The sequence below is a fragment of the Homo sapiens genome, chromosome 16 (genome assembly GCF_000001405.40).
Source record: "Homo sapiens chromosome 16, GRCh38.p14 Primary Assembly".
NCBI lineage: Eukaryota > Metazoa > Chordata > Mammalia > Primates > Hominidae > Homo > Homo sapiens.
This window is the reverse complement of record NC_000016.10, coordinates 58277332-58295870: the sequence shown is the minus strand read 5'-3', so window position 1 is coordinate 58295870 and position 18539 is coordinate 58277332. Positions and strand designations below refer to the sequence as shown.

At 45.9% G+C, this 18539-nt stretch overlaps 2 protein-coding genes across 6 annotated transcripts in view, besides 1 other annotated feature; one reads left to right on the top strand and one right to left on the bottom strand.

The window, feature by feature from the left end:
• The first annotated feature begins 845 nt into the window (after positions 1–845).
• PRSS54 (serine protease 54) lies at positions 846–15874 on the top strand. Of its 4 annotated transcripts, none has more exons than NM_001305173.2 (7): positions 846–984; positions 1662–1886; positions 2049–2139; positions 4735–4912; positions 9676–9934; positions 11150–11281; positions 15114–15874. In NM_001305173.2, the coding sequence occupies exons 3-7, from the start codon at positions 2055–2057 to the stop codon at positions 15645–15647; spliced, it is 1188 nt and encodes a 395-aa protein (NP_001292102.1). In that variant the 5' UTR covers positions 846–984; positions 1662–1886; positions 2049–2054; the 3' UTR covers positions 15648–15874. The 4 variants fall into 4 exon arrangements, with proteins under 4 accessions (NP_001292102.1, NP_001073961.1, NP_001292103.1 ...); NM_001080492.2 differs by having other exon boundaries at positions 1659–1886; NM_001305174.2 differs by lacking the exon at positions 4735–4912 and having other exon boundaries at positions 1659–1886.
• The window catches only part of CFAP263 (cilia and flagella associated protein 263), a 33901-nt gene continuing 27396 nt past the window's right edge, over positions 12035–18539 (bottom strand). For both annotated transcript variants that reach the window (NM_014157.4, NM_001142302.2), the window contains 2 exons: positions 17234–17389; positions 12035–16180 (listed from right to left, as the gene is read on the bottom strand). In NM_014157.4, coding sequence (NP_054876.2) covers positions 16094–16180; positions 17234–17389 — 243 coding nt within the window. In that variant the 3' untranslated portion in view covers positions 12035–16093. The remainder of the gene's footprint in view (positions 16181–17233; positions 17390–18539) is intronic.
• Positions 14572–14866: a silencer, noted in NCBI's record as "tiled region #1225; HepG2 Repressive non-DNase unmatched - State 21:Repr". NCBI's record gives its function as "represses a minimal TATA promoter and a strong SV40 promoter by Sharpr-MPRA in HepG2 cells {active_cell/tissue: HepG2}" and the evidence as "EXISTENCE:reporter gene assay evidence [ECO:0000049][PMID:27701403]".

Sequence of the window (18539 nt, the reverse complement as noted above, 5' to 3'; positions counted from 1 at the left end):
GCAACCTCCACCTCAGCTTCCCGAGTACCTGGGACTATAGGTGTGTGCCACCACGCCTGGCTAAATTTTTGTATTTTTGGTAAAAGACAGGGTCTCACCATGTTACCCAGTCTGGCCTCAAACTCCTGAGCTCAAGCAATTTGCCTGCCTCGGCTTCGCAAAGTGCTGGGATTATAGGCGTGAGCCACCGTGCCCAGCCAGTTTCCACTTTCTCACCAGCCTTCCTGCCTTCCATCAGCCATTCATCTACCCATCCAGTAAGGATCTTCTGAGCGTCTGCACCAGAGGCCTGTGCGCCCACCCTCCCCCTGTGGCTCCGTGGAATTAACATCTTACCTCAACCTTGTCGACACTTCTCGAGTCCTGGCATTTGGGCTGAAACCAAAGCTGCTCACAGTGGCTGGAGTGGCAGATCCCATCTGGGCCTCTGGTTTGGCAGAGCTGGTCTGGTAGCTTAGATTGGACCCGGAAACTGAGAGGCTAAAGAAAACTGGGCTAAGTCTGAAAGAAACCACCCTGGGAGTGTAAGATGCTGACGGGGACTGGAAATTCCAAACCCACCCCAGTTGTGGGCTTCCTCAGTCCAGTCTGACAAGCATGTGTGGACACAGGGCGGGCGCTGAGTGGGGTAGACAGACCGTGGCCACGACCAGAGAAGACTTTGTAATCCAGCAAAAAGCTTGCCTTCTCAGACTAGGAGAGAGCCTGGCTTCCAGAAGAGCCCTGCCAAGGCTAAGCAACAAGGAGGCCTTTCATCCTAGCTCCTCGTAAGTCCCCATGTCCAGACAGTTGCTTGGTGGTGCCATGGTAACCGTGATGCCACAATGGAACATTCTTCCCAAGGCAGTAGAAGAAATCCTTCTGTTGAACTCTACTGTGTCAGGCCAGCCTGAGTTCATTTCTCCTTGAGCAGGAACAGTTCATGGACGAACTCTGAGGACCATTCTGAGGACAAGAGGCATCCAGTGTCATGAGTGGAACATGGTGACTTAGAACTGTGCACATGGGTTCCTTGGGCTTCTGTGCATTGCTTGACAGCTGTGTGACCTTGGACTGGCTAGTTGATGTCTCTGAGTATCAGTTTCTGAATCTGTAAAATGGCGATAACTCGAGTGTCTACTTCCTACCGCGGTTTTGCAAATGAACTAAGCTAAATGCTGGGGCTGTTCCTATGTAAAGATACAGGCTATTGGCCGGGCACGGTGGCTCACGCTGGTAATCCCAGCACTTTGGGAGACTGAGGCGGGTGGATCACCTGAGGTCAGGAGTTCGAGACCAGCCTGGCCAACGTGACGAAACCCCATCTGTACTAAAAATACAAATATTACAAAATATTACAAAATAATACAAAAATTAGCTGGGCGTGGTGGCGCACATCTGTAGTCCCAGCTACTCAGGAAGCTGAGGCAGGAAAATCGCTTGAACCTGGGAGGCAGAGGTTGCAGTGAGCCAAGCTCGTGCCACTGCACTCCAGCCTGCCAAGGGAGCGAGACTCAGTCTCAAAAAAAATAAAATAAAATAAAAAACAAAAAAACAGGCTGTTAACAGTTAACAGAAGCCCTAGCGTTCTTTTAGCCAGCAGAGTTTAGAAGGGTAAAACCACAGCAGAGGCATTAATCCCAGGGTGGGCTTCCACTAAAACTCTACTTTTCTTTCAGCAGCATTTTATGGCTACAGAGTTAAGGCAAGGGTTGAATTCCACGAGTCAAAAAGCAGCCCTTTTCAGAGACCCAACTCTCTGGGGTGCTCAGGGGCTTGGGCTGGATTGAGAAGAAAACTGACAAGAGTAAGCTGCCCTCTCTTCTCTGGCCATCTCACAAACCACAGTGCGGGCCAACTGGTCCTGCCTCTTTACCACACAGAACCAAGCACTAGGGATAAGACAGGTCAGTGCCCTACATCTTGGAACCTTTGTTAGTAGAAAGAGGGGGAGCCTCTGATGTTTGGGAGGGAACATGTGTGTTTGGGAAGAGGATGGAAAAAAGAGGCATAGAAAACCCTGCATGTGTTTGGGAAGAGGATGGAGTCATTGGGTTTTGTTTCCCCAGCTGCCCATGGTGTCCGCGGCGGGTCTCTCTGGGGATGGCAAGATGCGAGGGGTGCTCCTGGTGCTGCTCGGCCTTCTCTATTCTTCCACCAGTGAGTGTGCTGCTTTCCTCCCTCTGACTTTAGCTGCACACGTGGCACAGAAGGGGATCATCCGGGAAGATGAAGTGGTCCTTAATGTCCAAGGAGGGGCTCAGGGAAGATGACTCACGGCACTTTGCACCGGGCGGCCTGCATTGGTGGCAGGAACCAGGCAAAGAAGTGAATCATGGGACGTGGATGGAGGAAACTAAAGTCAGGGCCAATCCTTAGGGTGGGAGTGTGGTTAGGAAAATAAGGCCCTCTGGGTACAGGGGTGAGCAAGAGGCCTGCCTCTTCACTCCCAGCCCCTGCCCTGTCCTTCCAGGAGAATACTGCTCTTTTGCAAACTACAACCCCCAACTGCAGGGCTGGTCCCGGGAGCAGGGGGCTTCTACTGCTGCAGGTGTCTTGGAGGCAGCCACAGCCTCAGATGGCAGAAGTGGCAGCTGCGGTCCCCTCCTCCCTTGACCTCTAGGCTGCCCAGGACTAAGAATTCCAGCCTACAGAGGGCAGGTGGAGGGGAGACAGCTAGCTAAAGCAGGCTCTGTCCCACCTTGCTGCCGTCCCAGCCCGCCCTGCCCTGCCTCCCTGGGGTTAGAAGGGAGACATGAGAAAGTCCACACACACCCTCACATACACACACGCACACACACACTCTCAAACACACACATGCACACACACTCACACACTTGCACACACATACACGCACACACATAGAGGGGAGTCCTCCAGCTCCCTCAGCCTCCTGCAGCTCTCTGTCTTCTTGCAGCCCCAAAGAGACCAGGGGATACCCAGAAAACACAGAAAGGTCCTCTCCCTCCTTAAAAAGCCACAGCTAAGGGGCCAAGACAAGCATTTCATCTCTGGGTCAGATTTCCTCATTACATCTTGGCTTTCCAAGGGTTTTGTGAGGTCAGATAAACTAGCCAACTAGAGCTTTGAAAAAGCAAAAGTCATCACACACTCCTAAACTCTTGTGGGGTTAGGGAAGGTTGGCAAATGCCTTGCACCGTAGATTGCCAATGTCCCAAAAAGAACTCAGACCAAAGATAAGGATCTTGTCTCTAGTGGTTCTGATGCACTTAGTGACCTTCCAGACATCATCTTGCTAAAATCAGTCTGTCATTGTTCCAGCAAAGTCATCAAGTGTCAATTAATGGAGATGTCTGGTCATATGTGCTCCATCATGGAGAGGTCCTCTGTGCTCCTTTAATGATAATTCTATATGTTACAATCAGTTCTTAGGGTCATGGTTTGGAAACTGTTTTTGGGGCTCATATGCAAGGTTGCCCTCAGGGGGAAGCCCTCCGAGACTTTATGTCCTGGGCAGAATTCGTGACCCCTCCTCTTATACTTTGGGCACACTTCCTGTGTCACATATCCCTCTATATGGCCATCACTCTTCAGCATGTCACTCTGATGGGCTCCTGAAATCCATCCTTGGAATCCCAGGCCCTACCTCAGCACCTGCCAGGGCCAAGTGTGGTTGGATGCATGGCTGAAAAAGGAGTCACCGGTAGGGTGTGGTGGCTCACTCCTGTAATCCCAGCACTTTGGGAGGCCGAGGCAAGCAGATCACTTGAGGTGAGGAGTTCAAGACCAGCCTGGCCAACATGGCAAAACCTCATCTCTGCTAAAAATAGAAAAATTAGCTGGGCATTGTGCCATGCGTCTATAATCCCAGCTACTCAGGAGGCTGAGGCAGGGGAGTCGCTTGAACCCAGGAGGCAGAGGTTGCAGTGAGCCGAGATTGCACCATTGCACTCCAGCCGGGCGACAGAGTAGGACTCCATCTTAAAAAAATATAAAAATAAAAAATAAAAAAGGAATACACAAGGTCACACATACTACTAGCCATCACAGTGATGACATCCTAGAGCCTCTGGAAAATTCTACTATACATTAATGAAGAGAGCAAAAATGCAAATAATGTCTTCACATTCTTATGAAAATAGTTTTAAAGTTGGGCGCAGTGGCTCATGCCTGTAATCCCAACACTTTGGGAGGCTGAGGAGGGAGGATCTCTTGAGCTAGGGGGCTCTAGATCAGCCTGGGAACATAGCAAGACCTCATCTCTACTAAAAATAAAAGAATTTAGCCGGGGGGTAGTGGCAGGCGCCTGTAGTCACAACTACTCCAGAGGCTGAGGCAGGAGAATTGCTTGAACCCGGGAGGTTGAGGCCACAGAGAGCTATGATCCCACCACTGCACTCTAGCCTGGGTGACACAGTGAGATCCTGTCTCAAAAAAGAAAAAAAGAAAAGAAAATGAAAATAGCTTTAACCTTGCAGATCCCAAAAGTGTGTTGAGGACTCCCAGGGGTCCCAGACCAGGCTTTGAGAACTGCTGATGAATATGAAAGGTGGCAGACACTGCCAATGTGTACCGTTATGTGTTCAATAGATGAGAGTTTTTATTTGTAGTCTAACATAATTTTGGGATTCAAAAATGCCACTGAGCATCTTTTAGGGTGAAGAAGACACACTAGGCAAAAGAAAGAAAAGGGGTTGCGGATAGCGTTAGTGATGATCGAGACAGACAGCCCACAGGAGAGAGGGTCCTGAGGTCTCCTTGCCCCGGCAGTGAGGCCCCGCACCTGCTCCGCAGGTTGTGGCGTCCAGAAAGCTTCCGTTTTCTACGGTCCTGACCCCAAGGAGGGCTTGGTCAGCAGCATGGAGTTCCCGTGGGTGGTGTCGCTGCAGGACTCCCAGTACACACACCTGGCTTTCGGCTGCATCCTGAGCGAGTTCTGGGTCCTCAGCATCGCATCCGCCATTCAGAACAGGCCAGTGCCCCTGCCTTTGGGGCCCGCAACATCGCCGGGGGTGAGGGTGGGGGCGACCCTGTTTCCTGCTCAGCCTGGGGAGGCCCTGAAAGGTGCATTCTGGGGGGACAGGGCTTTTTACCAGCTCAGCGCTTGCTCTGTCGTGAGCCCTAAATTCACCAGTTGCCAAGCCTGATCTCTGCTGTGAGGACTGCAGGCCTTGCAACGGAAAAATGCAATGATGAGTCCTCCATTCAATGCAGGTGGGATATTCTTTCTGATTTTACCGCCATCACGGAGGCACTGGCTCCTAACACTAGGGTCCCTACCACTTATCAACTGTTCAACCAGTCAATAGGAGCCCTTACCTTAAAACATTTGGGCCTTACAAACGTTACTGCCACAAATACATGTACAGAGAGAAAAGCCTCGGAAAAAATACAGAAGCGCTTTTAAGAGTGCTTATCTCTGAATGCTCAGAACGCACGATTTCTACTTTCTTCTTTTAGCTTCTCTGTATTCTGCAAATTCTGTAATACAAATATGCATTCTTTTAAACCAGGGAAAATCATAAATATTATTAAAAGAATAATGTTTTTGGTAAATATTTCTCACTCTTTGACCCAGTGACTTCATTTTTGGGAATCAACATTAAGGAAATAATTTCAACCACTGGAAAATTTGTATGTACAAAGCTGTTCCTAGGATGGTTAATTACACACAAAACACTGAAAAGAAACCTAATGTCCCACTATCGGGATGAAATTATAATTTTTCATATATATACATGCTATACATATAAATATATATATACATAATATATAGTGTATACTATACATGTAATTATATACTTTATTATATGTAATATACATGATATTGTAATATATGTATATATGTATATGGAATATCTATGTATACAATATCATATGTAACATATAGTATATAATCTATAATTACGTATATACACACACAGAGTATTGGGGGAGAGAGAATAATGACTATAATTGGCTAAATAAATTATAATATAAATCCTTGATGGAATATTATGCAGCTGGTGAATAGTTTAACATAGGATTTGTATTTTTAATTAAAAATACATGTGTAGCCGGGTGCAGTGGCTCACACCTGTAATCCCAGCACTTTGGGAGGCTGAGACGGGCGGATCACTTGAGGTCAGGAGTTCTCGTGAGACCAGCCTGATCAACATGGCAAAAACCTGTCTCTACTAAAAAATACAAAAATTACCGGGGCATAGTGGCATACACCTGTAATCACAGCTACTCGGAAGGCCGAGATAGGAGAATCACTTGAACCTGGGAGGTGGAGGTTGCAGTGAACTAAGATTGTGCCACTGCACTCCAGCCTGGGTGACAGAGCGAGATTCCATGTCCAAAAAAAAAAAAAGTATGTAGTAAAATGTTCACGAGAAACCAAAGGACGTACAGTTAAAAGCAGCTCCTTCCCTCCCCTGCCCCTCAGTCACTAGTTTTTCTCCCTTGAGCCACATTCTGTCACCAATTTCTTGCCTATTCCTTCTTAAATACTCAAAGCACTCATGGATATCTATATACCTATAGGTCTGGCTATATTGATTCTTATATCTATTAAGAGAATTTTCTTTCCCCTTGTATTAGTCTACTTAGGCTGTTATAACAAATATCACAGACTGGGTGGCTTAAACAACAGAAATTTATTTCTCACAGTTTTGGAGGCTGAAAGTCTAAGATCCAGGTGTCAGTAGATTTGGTTTCTCCTGAAGCCTCTCTCCTGGGCTTGCAGATGGCCACCCTCTCACTGTGTCCTCACATGGCCCTTCCCTCTGTGCCTGTGCACTCTTGGTGTCTCTTTCTCTTCTTATAGGGACACCAGTCCTCTTAGATTACAGCCCCAGCCTTATACCTCATTTAATCTTAATTATCTCCTTATACCTCATTTAATCTTAATTATCTCCTTAAAGGCCCTATCTCCAAATATATGGTCAAATTGGGGGTTAGAACTTCAACCTACAAATTTTCAAGAGAACGCAATTGAGTTCATAACGCACTCCCGACACACCCACAATGCAACTGGTAGCACATCATACACATTAATTCACTCACAGCCTTTTTTCACTTTATCATAAATTTTGGAGACCTTTTCTTATTGGTACATAAAGGGCTAATGCATTCTTTTTTCAGCTGCACCATAACCTGTTATGGAAGTACCATAACTACACAGTCCTCTGTTAATGGAAATTTAGGCTGTTTCCAATCTTTTACTACTGCCAAAAATGCTGCAACAGAAATACTTGTACACGCATTATTTCACACACATGCAAGTGTACCATAGTGTAGATATCCCAGGAGTAGAAAGACTGGGCTAAGAAAGACATGCATTTAAAATCCTGAGAGCTACTGCCAACTAGCCCTCCATGGAAGTTCTGTTTTCTATGTAGTGTTTTCATTATGGCTATTTTCTATCTGGCCTATTCTTTTGGTTTTGATTTTCTCTTTGACTCAAGGGTTTTATTAAAGTCAGAGCTTTATTTTTTAATTTTATATAATTTAATTTTTTTTTGAGACAATCTTGCTCTGTTGCCTAGGCTGCAGTATAGCAGTGCGATCTCAGCTCACTGCAATCTCCGTCTCCTGGATTCAAGCAATCCTCTTGCCTCAGCCTCCCGAGTAGCTGGGACTACAGGCGCATGCCACCATGCCCAGCTAATTTTTGTATTTTTAGTAGAGACGAGGTTTTGCCATGATGGCCAGGCTGGTCTCAAACTCCTGGTCTCAGGTGATCCACCCACCTTGGCATCCCAAAGTGCTGGGATTATAGACATGAGCCATCATGCATGGCCAAGACAGAGTTTTAAAATGTCCAGGTGCTAGGGTTTTTTGTTTTGTTTTCTAACATTATTGAATTATACCACGTGGTGATCTATTTAGGATTTGTTGAGGTTGTCCTGTCTGTCTACTATGGGTGGTCTATGTGAATATTTTCACAGGTAAATTAAAAAGTTCATTCTCCATGCTTGGTGTATAATTCAATATATAAAATTGGGCAAGGAAGTCTACTTGATCTGTCCTAGACTGTCAGAGGTGAATTAAAATCACCTACCAGCCAGGTGCAATAACTCACACCTGTAATGCCAGTACTTTGGTTAGACAATACAGCCAAACTTAATTAAGATGACCTCATCTTTGTTAGTCTGGATGTCCAAGGATTCCTTCTTTGTCACTCAAGTCCAGCAACTTTACTAGTTGTGCTGGATTTCCCCCACCTGCCCCTTCAGATCCACTCTACTCTTCTACCCTGCCAGGCCCCAGGAGGACCACCTGTATGGGTTATACCAGTGGTCTTTCTTGCCTTCTGGATTCCAGTTGGTTTTGGCCAACATGCATAAAAGAGGCAAGAGATCAGAGGGAGTGGGGAAAGTGAAGTCAGTGTCCTTATTCCTTTGAGGGCTACTGCGTATTGGCTGCTGGTTGGCTGCTTTTACCAGCTAAGTGACCCACTCTACACAGCTCTGTCTGATCACATCCTCCCCTCACCTAGAGCCCAGAGATGGTGTCAGCACAGCGTTGTTACCTCAGCAGGAGCTGCCTATAGCATGCAGTGCCCAGCGCTGTCCTTGTGGTTTCCCTGCATCCTGCCAAGACCTTTGTAAAGAGTCCCTTTATTAAACGCACCCCAATTTATCTTATTTGAGTAGAACATTTATTTCCTGTTGGGACCTGACCAGAACTATGTCTCAGTGTTAACTACTCCAAACTATAGAGATAGTGGACACGCAACACTACTGGAGATAGGTTAGCTGTCTCCAAACTATAGATTCAAGTCTTAGTTCTGAAAAGTTTTCTTAAATTATATCTTGAAATATTTTTCCTGTTTCATCATTTTGGTTACTTTCTTTGTGGTCAGCTGGTTCTCCTGTGACGGCCTTATCTTTCATTTTCCTCTCAAGCCTTTAAAAATCTTTGCTAATTTTCATTTCATTTTGGTCATATTTCTCAATGCCCCTAATTGTGTTTTCTGTGGGCCCTATTCTCCTTTATGCTGCTTTTGATTTGGCCTTCATTTTGGTCATGGTCTTGTTTCTTTCCTTTTCGCTTCTTTGCTGAGAACATGCTCAACGAGCTTTTTCTGAGCTCTGTGGCAGTCAGTGTCATCTATAACTCTTGCACTCCTGCCATCCTTCCTTTCATCAGCCCTTCCTTTGACTCTGAGATTTGGATTCTTTAGCGTCTCTTGGTTTTACGGTGTTTGTATTTGTTCCTCATTCTCATAGTTTCTTGGGTGATTCCCAAGAGGAGAAAGGGAAAACATCCAACTCAATTCTATTGTCATTAGAACTTCAATTTCTCCAAAATGTATTTACAGAATATATAATAAAGAAAGATGCCTGTTTTAAAATGTAAATACTAAAAGCAGGAGTCAAGATGACATGTTTGGTAGAACTGCAATTACTACTTTTGCAAACTACAATATGTAAAAAAAAAAAAAACTATTCATAGAAAAAACATTAATCAGCAATAACATGTTAACAGATTTTCTTTAGTGGTGGGGCAAATGGTGTTAAGATTAAAGAATCTCCAGGATTCTGCAGGCTCACAAAAGAGGGCACAAGCCTAGGGGTTCATAAAAGATTTCCTAGAAACTTGAGTCCAAAGGGGTGAGGAAGAATTAACACAGGAAATATGAGCTGGATGAGTGTTCCAGGCTGAAAAAACTTAAATGGGAAAACAGGGAAGCGTGAAGCTTCCTTGCTGTCTTGGCTTCTCAAGATTCCCTTGCTCTCTCTCCAGGAAGGACATTGTCGTTATAGTGGGTATAAGTAACATGGATCCTAGCAAGATTGCTCACACAGAGTATCCAGTCAATACCATCATCATCCATGAGGACTTTGATAACAACTCCATGAGCAACAACATAGCCCTCCTGAAGACAGACACAGCGATGCATTTTGGCAACCTGGTCCAGTCCATCTGCTTCCTCGGCAGAATGCTGCATACACCACCAGTCTTGCAGAACTGCTGGGTGTCAGGATGGAATCCCACATCTGCAGTTAAGGCATTCCTCCTCCCAGAGAAGGCTGCGTGTGTGCTGGCAGTGGGGGTGACCTGGATAATCCAATCTAGGGCCTATCTTAATTTAATAATGGAGTTTGCTTGAGGTTCTAGAGTTTGGCTGAAACCCTTACCTAATCAGTCAAGACTCCCAGGGCTTTCTGTAGCCACTCTTCTTCTTCTTCTTCTTTTTTTTTTTTTTTTTTTTTTTGAGACAGGGTCTTTTCCATGCAGTGGTGCCATCACGGCTCACTGCAGCCTTGAACTCCTGGGCTCAAGTGATCTTCCTGCCTCAGCCCCGAGTACCTGGGACTACAGGCACATGTCACCATGCCTGGTTAATTGTTTTAAATTTATTTTTGTGGAAATGGGGTCTTGCTATGTTGCCCAGGCTTGTATCGAACTCCTGGGCTCAAGCAAGCCTCCCACCTCAGCCTTCCAAAGTGTTGGGATTACAGGCGTGAGCCACTGCACCCATCCAGTGGCCATTCTTACATCACATTGGTCCTTTACCCTCTAGCCCTACACCAAAACTGGAAGTACAGAGGCAGTGGACACCCTGGAATGAATACAAGTGTACAGAGAGGTGAGGGGATGTTAGTCCCCGAACTACGGCTGATTGTCCTCTTGTCTAAGCCATCGTTGTTTTCTTTCACTTTGGGGAAAGAAAGAAACAAGGAAATGGATACTCTCTAGAAGAGGAGGAAGGGTGTTCTCTGCCTGTTTGCACATTCAAGTTCAAAGTGGAGGTAGTTTTCAGTAAAAACTCAGTCACAGGTTCTTATTTCTATGAAAAAAAGGGATTTATAAGAACATTCCTGGCAGGGCACAGCGGCTCATGCCTGTAATCCCAGCACTTAGGGAAGCCAAGGCAGGTGGATCACTTGAGGTCAGGAGTTCGAGACCAGCCTGACCAACATGGTGAAACTCCATCTCTATTAAAAATACCAAAATTAGCTGGGCGTTGTGGTGCATGCCTATAATCCCAGCTACTCCGGAAGCTGAGGCAGGAGAATTGCTTGAACCCGAAAGGCAGAAGTTGCAGTGAGCCAAGATCACACCACTGTACTCCAGCCTGCGTGACAGAACAAGACTCCAACTCAAAAAAAAAAAAAAATTCTCACTCTCGTTTGGCTATATGAGTGGGAGTTGTGTTGACATAGGGGACTGCCTTCTCGTTAATAATCCCTGGGCTCTCTGTTGCATGGTCCAGACAGGAAATCACATGACGATGAGTGTCCTGAGGAAAATCTTCGTGAAAGATCTTGACATGTGTCCCCTATACAAACTCCAGAAGACAGAATGCGGCAGCCACACGAAAGAGGAAACCAAGACTGCCTGCTTGGTAAGAACATCATGGAGTAGAAGCTAAGTGTTGAGAGTAAGCCTTGGTCACATCCAGGGGAGCCTCAGGACTCCCCTTCCCTAGATGGGGAGCTCTGTGAGGGCAGGGCTTGGGATGAGTGGCTGTCTCTGGAGTGAATAGCACTTGGCAGACAGTATGCGCTCAATAAAAATCTGCTGAATGAACTAACCAGTCACGATTTTCAGTGTAACATGATGAAGCTTGTCTAAGTCACAGGTGCTTTTTAACTAGCTAAAAATTTGAAAGTCTGAGTCCAAACCACAGAGGCCGATATGCTTTGAGCAGGTCTACAGTGTGGGGCTGCTGTATTCAGCTTCTAGGGAACCTAGACTCCCCTCTGATGCTATCAGTTACTGAGTTTTTCTTCTCTGAGAAGCCCTGCCCTCCACCCAGATGAGGGCTGTACGGATGTGGCTGTCCTACTGCCTCAAAAAAAAATGTGTAGAAGTCACACACACCTGGTTCAGGCCCCTTCATATCCAAATCTGGAGAAAGTGTGGCTTACTAGGGTCACACAGTCAATAAAAGTTACAGCAAAGACAAGGACCTAGGTCTACCAGATATCCAGACAGTGTTTATCTCCTCTGCTCTAGAATTGCTTTTCTATGAGGCTTAACACACACTCTCCTCTAAATAACCTTCAGGACACCTGATGGGGAATTTTTTTTCCCCATAGGATCCAGAAAGGCAGGATTTTTAGAGCAAGGGGAAAAAATACATATATACAGACAATTTTTTTTAAAAGTCATTTTATTGCAAAACATGAAGGACTGCCTCTCATTAAGAAATATGTTTGCCCTTCCAAAGTTGGTGTAACATCTATTGAGTGCCTATTTTGTACTGGGTCCTCTGCCAGGTGGGGGATCTTAACAATTTCTTAAATTAGATAATGTGTTAAAATACAGTGAAGATATAGCTTTTTAACAAAATTCTGCCGTCAACCATTCCGTCAAACAAGTATCATACTTCCTCAGATCTAAGATGCTGCCAATTATAGAATGCACCATCATTTTTTGTAATCCCAAGAAAGAAAAAAATGCTGCCCGTTAAACTCTGACATCAACTGATTAAAAGACACACCCTAATTTCAAAGATGTTGATTTCTAACTGTATCTTAGACTCAATGGAATATTCTAAGCTATTTCTACTCTAACTGACCATCTTTTAAAATCTAACTGCAAAGTTCAGGTTGGTTTTTAACTGTGACACACCTCTAAACATGCCTTCATTTTTGAACAGAATTATGCTTGCACACCATTTAATGGTGACCCGTCCCCATAGAATCCTCTGTCTTGGAAATATGTTCTCATGTCCAGAGGTCTTCAAAGCCACAATTCCCACATGTAGAATCAACCACCAGGTTCAGAATCTGCCTATGGGTTTCCCTGAAACCCAACAAAAGCAGAATCACTCTGCACTCACCCATCCTGCCTTTATTCTACCACTGTCAGGGCTTTTGCTGAATGTCAAGGGAAAAGATCACAAAATGAAAGACCCCACTCTGGGCTGTGGCCGCTCCCTTGGGAGATGAGGTAGGGTAGCTCCAGAGGGGCACCTGGAGCTGTTCGCCTCTGCCTCTTGTGCTTCAGAAGTCGCAGCCCCTACAGGATTATGGGGAAGAGAAAAAGCGTATATGCTGTGCCCAGGTGGGTGGAACAGTGACCTGCAAAACCACGCCATAGCTGAGGACATCTACCAATCACTCATCCAATCATTTGTCCTAAATCACATTCTTTTTCTTGCTCTGGCTATACCACTACAGTTAAGACAAACTGCGAATCGGACTGATGAAAGGGGGAACCACGTCATTCTTGGCCAGGGAGCCCCCATGACCTAGGCAGACATAGTGAGGTGCACACAAGGGCCTCTTCACCAGTCAATTGAAAAGTCAGGAGTGCCACACTAAAGCACCCCCTTCCATCCAAGGAGAGGCACAGAATGAAGTCCTCAAGGCCTTCCTCACATGTCTGGCCTTGGCCTGCTGAGAGATCACCAGGGAATCACGGCAGCTTTGCAGCATGGCCTCCCCGCTGGCCTGCCCACGGAGTTGCTCCCATGTTTTCCCACTGGTCTTCATCTCTGTTCTGGTGTGGCTTCCTTGGAAAAGAGGAGCTTTATTGAAAGAGAATACCCCACTGGGCATGGTAGTTCATGCCTAATCCCAGCACTTTGAGAGGGCGAGGCGGGCAGATCACTTGAAGTTAGATTAAGACCAGCCTGGCCAACATCGTGAAACCCCATCTCTACTAAAAATACAGAAATTAGGCCGGGTGCAGTGGCTCACGCCTGTAATCCCAACACTTGGGGAGGCCGAGGCGGGTGGATCATGAGGTCAGGAGTTCGAGACCAGCCTGGCCAACATGGTGAAACCCCATCTCTACTAAAAATAAAAATTAGCCAGGTGTGGTGGTGGGCGCCTGTAATCCCAGCTACTGGGGAGGCTGAGGTAGGAGAATCGCTTGAACCCAGGAGGAGGAGGTTGCAGCGAGCCGAGATCATGCCACTGCACTCCAGCATGGGGGACAGAGCAAGACTCCATCTCAAAAAAAAAAAAAAAAATTAGCTGGGCATGGTGGCGCATAGCTGTAGCCCCAGCTACTCGAGAGGCTGAGGTGGGAGAATTGCTTGAATCCCAGAGGTGGAGGTTGCAGTGAGCCAAGATTGCACCACTGCACTCCAGCCTTGGGGACAGAGAAAGAAAGAGAGAAAGAGAGACAGAGAGAGTGACCAAGACAGACCACACACCCAGGTCTCGGATGGTAAGGGGCTGAAGCGGCTGCTCTTCTGCCTTTCTGCTGCTCGTGGTTCAGTCTGTTCAGATTGTTTCCTGTTGTTAATTGCGGCCCCATTCCATGTCTCAGTCCAAACTGCGAGAGCAACATGTCATTGCCTGGGCCTTCCAGCCAGGCAGGCCACACAGGTCAGAAGTGGCTGGCTAGCCTGGGGATGACCACCCCCTTCTCGGACCAAGATGGGCCATGGGAGGGGCAGGAATTCCTTTGAGAGGAGACCTAGGGGTGTGGGGTCTGGGCAGGTAAGGTAAGTGATACCTACTAGTTGCCTTGTTGCTTTTCCCATTTTCCCCAACTTTTCAGAAAAATGCTGGCCTTTATAGCGACATCAGGATGATGGTAGCTAATATTCTATTGAGTGTTTGCTGTGTGCCAGGCACTGTGCTGTGCTCAGCACGTGTTACAGGCATTAACTGTGTTCCCACCTTGGCTCAGAGAGGATTTGGTCACTTGCCAGGGTCCCATATCTAGCTAATGATGCCAAGCTTCTACTCCGTCACTTTAAGTTAGATAAAGTGTATGTGGCAGAATTCCCAAGTCCCAGAGGACTGCTCCATTGGGAGTAGGGAAGACCCAGAGCACGGCCAGCCAGGCTGGTAAGCAGTTGCCAGGTGGCAGGAAGTGGCTTACACTAAGGGTTGAAGCAAGGCAGAGAAGGGAAAATGTGAGCATTTCAGGACAAAACAGAAACAAACACCAACATTTCAGGAATGAGAAGCCAGAAGAGAGGGAAGGTTTGGCCAAAGGACTGGAAAGGGGCAAGAAAATGAAATATGAACCAGGAAGCTATAGGCAATCAGCAGAAGTCCACAGCTAATTTGCATAATAAAAGGAAAAGTCATCTTGTTGGAATTTGTGGTGGTGGCTGCCTAGATTTGAAATTGTATCCTATAATTTGCCCCATTTCCAGTGAGAACCAGCGTAAAACATTTCTAGAACAAACAGTATATTGCACAAGGATAGATTTACAACAAAAACTAGTTTTTCTAAGACTTGAAGCCTTCTGTCTTTTATCACAGGGGGACCCAGGAAGCCCAATGATGTGCCAGCTACAGCAGTTCGATCTGTGGGTTCTGAGAGGAGTCCTGAACTTCGGTGGTGAGACGTGCCCTGGCCTGTTTCTGTACACCAAGGTGGAAGACTACAGCAAATGGATCACATCCAAGGCTGAGAGGGCCGGCCCTCCCCTGTCCTCACTCCACCACTGGGAAAAGTTGATTTCTTTCTCCCACCATGGACCAAATGCCACCATGACACAGAAGACATATTCTGATTCTGAACTGGGCCATGTTGGATCATACTTGCAGGGACAAAGAAGGACCATCACGCATTCACGACTAGGAAACAGCTCTAGAGATAGTCTAGATGTTAGGGAGAAGGATGTAAAGGAATCAGGCAGGTCTCCTGAGGCGTCTGTACAACCCTTATACTATGACTATTACGGTGGGGAGGTGGGGGAAGGTAGGATTTTTGCAGGTCAGAACAGGTTGTATCAGCCCGAAGAAATCATCTTGGTTTCCTTCGTGCTTGTTTTCTTTTGCAGCAGTATCTAGTCCAGGAGCTACCCCACCAAACTGAAGAGTAAACTGAGAATGCTGAGTGCCAGGCATTCACCATGCTGTTTTGATGTCTGTTTTTGATAGTTGCACACTGGGGCTGCCACGGATAAGCCCATGGCATACACTGGGCTGGCTCTCCCTCCTCTATCCCTCTCCCAGGTGTGGGAAGGTCACTTTCACTATGCTTGTGAACTAAATGCTGGCTAACAAGTGTCAAACCATTAGAGTGCCCTGTGGTTCTTTCAGTGGTAACAGTTCCAGGGGCCAGGCTGTGAAAACACTCCCCATGGGCAGATGTGGCCCAGGAGATGATACGCAGCCTGGGTGGGGGGTTGGGAACACCAGGCAGACAGGGAACAGTGAGAGGAGCCCGTGACTAGAAAGGAGCTGATTACTTTTATAGGTCATGTAGTGGTCTGTAAGCCGTGGCCTGCCTCTGGCTACTTCCCAGCAAGGTAATCTGCCTGCAACTGCTCATTGGTTATTTTCATTCGATTCCAAGCCTTACGATGGCCTTTTAAGGACATCTGCAAAAAAAAAAAAGAAAAAAAGAAAAAAAATGATAAAGGAGATGGGGGAGAAAGTCACTTGGGGAAAACTGATTGTGGCTACTGAGAATGCAGCCCTCATCCAGCCCCGTGATGGTGCAGGCAACCCTGTGTGGGGCAGCGTGTCCTCCATGCATGCTGCTGTGTAGGGGCCACAAAGGGGCAGCACCCACCGGAAGATTTTTCTATAGAGCATGTTTCTTCTGTTCAGTAAAGTGAGAAGTTGCATGTTCCTGCCACGATTCTGCTACTTCTCAGCTTCGGATCTGAGGGGCCCAAATTTGGATCCTAATTTACTCTCTGCTGCAAAATGGCCGCAGGAGAGGCAGGACAAAGTAACACAGGAAATGGGAGCCAGGGTCTAGATGTGAAAACGCCAAGGTACCAGTTTTCCAAGTGACCTGACTGGCTTTCTAAGCTACTCTGATGATGTCCTGCATGACCTCAGTTTGCAACCTGGCCACGGCAGCCTAGGTGCTTGTCTTTCTTCTGACACCAGCATATGGTTTCCCATTGCCCATTTATCTCCCGCAGCTCACAGGAGCAAGGGTGCTTCCTGTCACATGGTACCATATTCAAAGTCTGCGGGATTCGTTCAAAAGCAGAAAGACCCATGGCGACTGTGTACATGCATGGAATGAGGTCCTGAGTGATATTAAAAAATCCATCACTATCTCATTTAAAAAAAAAATGGACTTCTCCATGTATAAAGTAGCAATCACTAAATTACCAGTGCAGAGGGATTCAGAAACTTCTAGAATTCATTAAGATAACAAGCAACTAAAAACACACTATTACTACAGAGTTTCTCCCTGAAAATGGAAAAGACTCTGCCCCTAACAATGCAAAAGGGGGAACTTTCAAAAAAAACAAATCATCCTTCGTCTTGGTTTAATAGTTAAAGCAACTGCTGAGGTTTCTCCCAGAAATTACATATCCAAACATCTGTATTCTTACCCCAAAGAACAAAATCCTAAGTGAAAACGTTGAAGACATAAAAGACTGCCCATCTTGGGGCTCCCCGTGGCTCACCTCTGCTATCTCCACTTTCCTTTCCCACATCCTGATGCTCTTCTCCAGGTCCGCATTTAAGATCTTCTCCCGGACGTAAGTCATCACCTGTGGTGCCCGGAACTCGGCCAGCTGCTTCCGGAGCCTCTTATTCACTGCCTCGGCTTTGGCCCGGTCCTGGGTTGGGAAGGACCAGTTACACCCAGGGAACCCCAGCAGCTCTTGCTTTGAGAACTCACTGGCCCTGCCATCTCTCCCCATAGTTCCAATAGAGTTCCAAAAATAATGTTTACATTTTCAAAGAGGTTGGGGAGGGGTGGGAATCACAAGATTCTGATTTTTTTCCCAAACATATTTTAAGCCAGTTCAGAAACACCTAGTGCAGTCTAAATAGTCTTGTTTCTTTCATTCCTTTTCTTCCCTCCTTCCTCTTCCTCTCCTTTATTAAGGAATATGTTGTACTTATTTTGACTTCTTAGGGTTTTTCTGTGTGTGAAAAATTGTGTATTTAAGTATACTTTGATCAGACTCAATTCACTTCCATGTCTTTTTTAATTATAAGATATATATATAACATAAAATTTATCATCTTAACCATTTTTAACTATACAGTTCTGTGGCATTAAGTACATTCACATTCTTGTGCAACTATCACCACCATCCATCTCCAGAACTCTTTTTGTCTTGTAAAACAGAAATTCTGTACCCATTATACAATCACTCCTCCTTCCCTCCTCTCCCAGCCCCTGGCACCCACCATTCCACTTTCTGTCTCTATGAATTTGACTACTCTGGGTACCTCATATAAGCGGAATCAAACAGTACTTGTCCTTTTGTGACTGGCTTATTTCACTTAGCATAATGTCCTTGAGTTTCCTACACATGGTAGTATGTGTCAGAATGTCCTTCCTTTCTAAGGTGGAATGATTTTCCGTTGTATGAATATACCACATTTTATTTATTTTGTTTATCCATTCATCCTTCGATAGACACTTGGGTTGCTTCCACTTCTTGGCTATTGTGAAGAATGGTGCTGTCAACATGGGTGTACAAAAATCTGTTCAATTCTCCTCTCAATTCTTTTGGGTATATTCCCAGACGCAGAATGCCTAGAAGCTATGGTAATTCAATTTCGTGAGTAATCCTTGTCTTTTAAATATTTATTTAAAAAATTATCATGCAGTAAAAATTAGCCCTTTTAATAGAATGCATTTTTTAAAAATTAACATCAGCTGGGGAGAGTGGCTCACGCCTGTAATCCCAGCACTTTGGGAGGCTAAGGCGGGCGGATCACTTGAGGTCAGGAGTTTGAGACCAGCCTGGCCAA